General features: G+C 50.2%; 1 annotated feature.

Annotated features, from left to right (window-relative positions):
- Positions 1 to 792: an enhancer, noted in NCBI's record as "H3K4me1 hESC enhancer chr22:48548671-48549462 (GRCh37/hg19 assembly coordinates)". NCBI's record gives its function as "activates a minimal SCP1, AML or CMV promoter by ChIP-STARR-seq in naive H9 embryonic stem cells {active_cell/tissue: H9 hESC(naive)}" and the evidence as "EXISTENCE:reporter gene assay evidence [ECO:0000049][PMID:30033119]".

Here is a 7,138-nt window from a genome sequence, read left to right as displayed (position 1 = left end):
CCATACTCGCTTCCCCTTCCCCAGTCCCTACTACGTCACAATATGTGTCCCGAGTCGCTTTGGGGGTGAACTGCCCTGATGCCATCAGGGCCTGTGATGACCACGTTGTGAAGCCAAGGGGTCCCCCGGCTTTGCCACCAGCTCCCTTTTGACCTTGGATGAGTCAGCGTAGCTCCTCAGCTCTGAGGCTTTCTGTCTAGGGGACAGGGAGTTGGGACGAAGATCTTGAAGGCACTTTCTAGTTCTGACCTCCCAAGACCCCCTGCCGCCTTCCTGTGCTTCAATTCAGGGACAGCCGGGAAGCCTCCACCCGGAGCCCCTCCAGGACTCATCCCCCGGCACGTCCCCGTGCCACTTGTAAGCGTGAACTAAAGACAAAGGCTTCCATGTCCGTCTCCTCTTCAGCAAAATGGGACATTTCACCAGCACAAATGAGGGACCAGGCTCAGGGAAGCCTTCCCCAGAAGCTGTGGCTCTGCGACAGGCTGCCCGGCTCGCCCCCGCCATGGCTGTCACTCGTGGAGTCCAGCCCCGTCCCCTGGTGGCCTCCCTGACCCTCGTCTCTCCCATCCTCCCATCCTCTGTGTGCCACGGCAGCACTGAGGGCTGTTTCTGGAGAGGAGGGACTCCTGGGCTAACCAGCGCCCTGATGAGGTCTCCATCGCTGCCTTCGCCCTGGGAAGGGGGCCTGGCTTCTCTGACCTGTTCCCAGGCTTTCCCATCTAAAGCTTCTTTTTCCCTCCTGCTTCTCTTCCAGCCCATTTCTTTCCCTTGATGCTCTGAAACAAAACCTCAGCCTGCCAGCCCCTGGCCCCTCTAGGAATTATTAGTGAATGAGCCCACAGGAGAAGCTGGGTACCTACCCCCGCCCCAGTTTCAGGCCTGCAGGGTCCTGGGCTGGGCACGGGGCTTGGGGTGGGGGGCTCCAGGTGGCTGGGAGGCCCTGCTCTAAGTGGCCTTCCATGAACCTGTTTCCACCTTCTGGCTCGGACTTCCCTGTGTGCTGCCACGGGCACCCACATGAGCTCATCTGCCTCCCTGGCAGGCTCTGGTACATGGGGGCTGTCTTCCTGTGCTGCCTCTCTCGGTGAGGGCAGCCGCTTGGCCAGCACATCCTCGCTGGACAGAGCCTAGTGTGGACGCTTGGGCTGGGGGTGTTGTCCACCTCTTGACCCCAACAAGCCCTGATGCTTATCCGTCCTCGCGTCCAGTGCCACAGCCAGGGCAGACAGTCTGTGCTGCCACCTGCATGTGGGAGGCACCGAGTGAGGACTGAAGGTCACGAGGTCTCAGCTCCATGGGTCGTCAGGGGCCCGTCTCATCCGCCTTGAGAACCACGCTCCTGTGCTGGGCCAAGGTCTTCCTCTTTCTGTTTTTGTTTTTACTTTTAACATTTAAGTTGGAAGGAGTAAGAGTTTGATAAAAATTTTTGTGCTTACTTTTTATTTAATTCTTCCTCTGGGGATCATAAAGTGAAAGTATTTAAATTTATATTTTGGAAGATAAAAGAAGCCTAACATCTTTCATCCACTTCATGCATTTTTACTAATTTTTTAAAACATTTTGTACTGGCATCCTGAAGGGTGCAATTTCATGAGTCAGGAGAATAAATAACAGATAAAAATAAATGGAGTTCTCAGCAAAGGTGAGTGTGAGTTTTCCTTAGGGATGAAAAAAATAAATGCTTGGCAGAGGCAACCAGCCTCAGGGCAGACCTCACAAGGACCGAGGTGGGGCTCAGTACCTGAGGGCGAGGGGTGGGTCTCACCTGGCATCTGCCAGCTTGCACCACGAACCCGCACCCACCAAGGGCGTGTACCACCCCAGCAGAGTCACACACCCTGCAGTCATTCCCCAAGAGGCAGGAACAAGCTCATGTTTCGTGATCGAGAACCTTACTTTGGAAATTTCATCAGACATCCCAGAGCAGCAGGTTGATGAAGATGATGATGACAATGAAGACGATGATGTTGCTCATTGAAATGTCACTGAACGCTGACTATGTATGTGCTAGACAATGTTGGAGGCATTATCTAATTCCGTCTTCTTTCCCTCCCCAGCTTTCTTGAGTTAAGATTGACAAATAAAAATTATATGTATTCTAAGATGTGCAATGTGATGTTTTGATGTGTGTACACATTGTGAAGTGACTGCCACCATCAAGCTAATTACCATGGCCATCACCTCATGTAATTATTTTTGTGGGTGTGTGTTGGTGGGGGGAGCACTTGAGATCGACTTCCTTAGCGAATGTCAAGTATACAATGCAGTTTTGTTAATTAACACCACCATCCTGTTTATTAGAGCCCCACGACTTCATCAGCCTGCATAACTGAGACTTCAGACTTTATGTTTTCTTAATCAACATCTTTCTGTCTTCTCGAGCAGTAGTTTTTTTATCTGACAAATAGAAACATGTGCGCCTGTAATCCCAGCTACTCAGGAGGCTGAGGCAGGAGAATCGCTTGAACCCGGGAGGCTTCGGAAGTTGCACTGAGCCAAGATTGTGCCACTGCACTCCAGCCTGGGCAACAGAGCAAGACTCTGTCTCAAAAAAACAAACAAAAAAAAGTGGGCAAAGGATATGAACAGACACTTCTCCAAAAACGGACATTTATACGGCCAAGAAACATATGAAAAAAAGCTCATCACCACTGCTCATTAGAGAAATGCAAATCCAAACCACAATGAGATACCATCTCACGCCAATTAGAATGGCGTGGTGGTGGGCATGGTGGCTCACACCTGTAATCCCAGCACTTTGGGAGGCCGAGGCGGGTGGATCACCTGAGGTCAGGAGTTCGAGATGAGCCTGGCCAACATGGTGAAACCTCATCTCTACTAAAAATGCAAAAATTAACCGGGCATGGTGCTGCACCCCTGTAATCCCAGCTACTTGGGAGGCTGAGGTGGGAGAATTCCTTGATCCTGGGAGACGGAGGCTGCAGTGAGCCAAGATCGCACCACTGTACTCCAGCCTGGGTGACAGAGTGAGACCTTATCTCAAAAACAAACAAAAAAGAAACAATGGTCCGTCCCCATAGTGTTATCGGGGATATTAAAAGGGATATACACGTAAGAGTGTCCAACAATGAATGTGCCGTGATCACTCCAGTGACCACCACCCGCCTGAGCAGTCCTTGAGGAACTTGAGAGAGCCCATTCCCCAGATGTGAGTGTCACTGGACCAGATGAGAAAGACGGAGGGCACTGGCTAATGCTGGCCACAGGAGCCCCGTTCGGGAATGGGCCTGGTGCACCAGAAAGGTCCCTTCCCTTTCCCACTTCACCAAGTCAGGGGCACCTAGAGTCAAAATTAGAATGACCAGCACCCAACTTCCTAGACCGTTCCTTAAGGCGAAACTTGTATCAGACCCATTTAGGACCAAGAAATGAATCACAGGAAAGCAGTTCCAGGTTCTAGATGTCAGCCTTAAATCATGAGATTCAGAAAATAAGATTAAGTACAGAGTTTGAGTACAGAGACTGAGAATACTCCCCCCGGGAAACACAGACTTGAAGAACATCAGACATCATTCCAAAGTGGGGAGGCCAAAGCTTCCTTTACAGGCAGTTAACATGTGCAACACTATTGTCAATAGTGCTGCAATAAACATACGTGTGCAAGTGTCTTTATAGTAGAATGATTTATAATCCTTTGGGCATATACCCAGTAATGGGATTGCTGGGTCAAATGGTATTTCTGGTTCTAGATCCTTGAGGAATTGCCACACTGTCTTCCACAATGGCTGAAATAATTTACACTCCCACCAAGAGTATAAAAGCATTCCTATTTCTCAATGGCCTTGCCAGCATCTGTTGTTTCCTGACTTTTTAATAATCGCCATTCTAATTGGCGTGAGATGGTATCTCATTGTGGTTTGGATTTGCATTTCTCTAATGAGCAGTGGTGATGAGCTTTTTTTCATATGTTTCTTGGCCGTATAAATGTCCGTTTTTGGAGAAGTGTCTGTTCATATCCTTTGCCCACTTTTTTTTTGTTTGTTTTTTTGAGACAGAGTCTTGCTCTGTTGCCCAGGCTGGAGTGCAGTGGCACAATCTTGGCTCAGTGCAACTTCTGCCTCCCAGGTTCAAGCGATTCTCCTGCCTCAGCCTCCTGAGTAGCTGGGATTACAGGCGCACACCACCACGCCCAGCTAATTTTTATTTTTTATTTTTTATTTTTTAGTGGAGATGGGGTTTCATCATGTTGGCCAGGCTGGTCTCGATCTCCTGACCTTGTGATCTGCCCACCTTGGCCTCCCAAAGTGTTCAGATTACAGGTGTGAGCCACCGTGCCTGGCCCCTTTGCCCACTTTTTGATGGAGTTGTTTGTTTTTTTCTTGTAAATTTGTCTAAGCTCCTTATAGATTCTGTATATTAGACCTTTGTCAGATGGGTAGATTGCAAACATTTTCTCCTATTCTGTATGTTGCCTGTTCAGTTTCTTTTGCTGTGCAGAAACTCTTTAGTTTAATTAGGTTGCATTTGTCAATTTTGGCTTTTGTTGCAATTGCTTTTGGTGTGGAACCAACCCAAATGCCCATCAATGATAAACTGGACAAGGAAAATGTGGCACATATACACCATGGAATACTATGCAGCCATAAAAAAGAATGAGATCATGTCCTTTGCAGGGACATGGATGAAGCTGGAAGCCGTCATCCTCAGCAAACCAATACAGAACAGAAAACCAAACACTGCATGTTCTCACTCATAAGTGGGAGTTGAACAATGGGAACACACGGACACAGGGAGGGGAACATCATACACTGGGGCCTGTTGCAGAGTGGGGGGCAGGGGGAAGGGGAGCATTAGGACAGATACCTAATGCATGAGGAGCTTAAAACATAGGTGACGGTTGAAAAGTGCAGCAAACCACCATGGCACACGTATACCTATGTAACAAACCTGCATGTTCAGCACACGTATCCCAGAACTTCAAGCTTTAAAAAAATGTGCATCACCTCCCCATGAGCTCAATGCATATGTTTTAGTGACTTGATTGGTTTCAGCCTGCTACATTGCAAGGAAGATGGCTTTCCCATGCTGTAGGGGCAGCTATGGCCAGAGGGGGTCTTCTCTTTGGTGCCACAAGTCCCTTCCTAATCATTGAAAGGAAAAAGCAGAAGTTGCAGGTGCATGCTACATGATGCACGCCTCATAGCCACGTTCCTTCCAAGGCGCAGAATAACTTCAAGTTCCAACAGTTTTAAGCTGGAATAATTTAATTTTACATAGATGAGTGAGGAATGGCTGAGCTGTGGCCAGCGTCTGTCCACTCCCCTCACCCTGACCCACCTTCAGGCTGGAGCCCCGAAGCCTGTGCTTGGCAGGATGGGGCATTCCACCCTCACTTCACATGTGTGAGGTCATATCCAGGGCAGGATCCTCACCCTTATCTCTAGCCCCTTCCCTGCTTATTTTGCCAAGAAAGAAGGCTGCTGATGATCTGAGTGGTCAGATCTGAGATTCCTTGGGCCACAGTTCATGAGTGGGTGATGTCGACGGGGACATGTTTGTCCCCGAGAGCTCTTTTCCCTGCTTCCTACAGCTGAGCAGACAGACAGAGCCAGTTTCTGTCCCTGTCTGTCCGCTCTCCCTGCTGGGAGTTTGATAAGGCTCCAGCTTCCATGCTCATGGCGACTGCGTGGCTTTGGGGTGGACAGATGGACTTGTCCTTGGCCTCACAAGTGCACGGGGAGGCTCACAGTGCACAAGGCCCCTGACAGAGCCACCCTTCTGTCCGCTTTTCCCAGGCAGCCCTGCACTTGGGCAGGGGAGAGGGTGAGTTTTCCTTCACCGAGACACTGGCTAGCACTTTGTTCACCACTGGACTCCTGTTGGATTCTAAAGGACCTCAGAAAAAAGAGAATGGAGCTGGGCTTAGGCACCCGAGTCCCCACCCAAATCCCCCTGTATTTCCTCCCAGGGCACAGGCAGAAGCAACTTTTCTCAATTCTCTCCTTGAGAAGGAGCTGGGATACCTGGGCAGAAATCCTGCAGGCTGAACCCCGGGGTCCAGGCTGCTCAGATTACATCAAAGTCACCTGGGGGACTTTTGAAATGCAAATGTCTGGGCCTCTGTTCTTGGGCATTTTGATTTTGTGGCTCCGGGTGAGGCAGGGAGGACTGTTTTGATTACTTTTCAATCTCCCTCAAGCAGTTCTGATGGGGCTCAGCCCTCTCTGGACAAGAAGTCGACTTTTAACTGGACCCATTGAGCTGGATCCTGGGGTCTGTCCTTTGGTTGTGACAGCAGGTTCCATCATTACACCTGCTGAGCTCATGCTCAGCAATAAAAATGGAAACATCATTCTATTTCTCCACTTGGTTATTCAAAAAACATTTATTGAGCATTTGTAGTTAAAGATCATCAAATATCAGAATGATGATGATGGCTCCGGGGCTTGAGTGTTTGCGAGTGGGATTTTTCGGGAGGCGGAGCAGCAGGGAAAGTCATCCCCATCCTGCAGAACGGGCGGGGCAGCGAGGAGGCTTAGGTTGGCTTTAACCGCGTGTGCTCTGCACACAGACCACATGCTGTGTGTGTGTGTGTGTGTGTGTGTGTGTGTGTGTGTCGTTGGTTGGTTGGGGGCGTGGGCCATGCTCAGCACACAGACACTGGCTTTGTGGGCTGTGCTCTCAGATCTGATCATTCTTAAATCTGAGAGGAGACCTGCTGGGTACAGGCGTCAGAAATTTGGCACATGCAGGTGAATTGCTGGGAGGATGGTGCTGGCATCCAGGGGTTCTCAAGAGTAAGGCCCATGCGTGCTCTTAGAATGTCCTTTCCAGATCTGGTCTCTGCTGACTTTCCGGCTCCATCTCCCATCCTCCGACCCACAGCCAGTGGGACATGTTCCCAGCTGCCAGATCCTCCTCCTCCTCCTGGACACTGCTGGGCTTTTGAACCTTGCAGTCCCCTGTCAGGACCTGCTTCCTCTGTCTGTAGCTGGCTCACTTCCAGGCATCCTTTCCAGCACCCTCTGCCACAGGAGCCTCTCCACCTGCCATCTGCTGCGCTGCCCCCGGGGAAGTCTGTGGGTTTCCACGGCACCTCCTGCACTCAAGTCCTCCGGTGGAGCACGGAGTGCCTCTCCTCCCCCTCACTGGACTCATCCTGTCCTTAGGGGTG

Source organism: Homo sapiens, chromosome 22 (genome assembly GCF_000001405.40).
Source record: "Homo sapiens chromosome 22, GRCh38.p14 Primary Assembly".
Classification (NCBI taxonomy): domain Eukaryota; kingdom Metazoa; phylum Chordata; class Mammalia; order Primates; family Hominidae; genus Homo; species Homo sapiens.
This window is presented reverse-complemented; position numbering and strand designations above follow the sequence as displayed.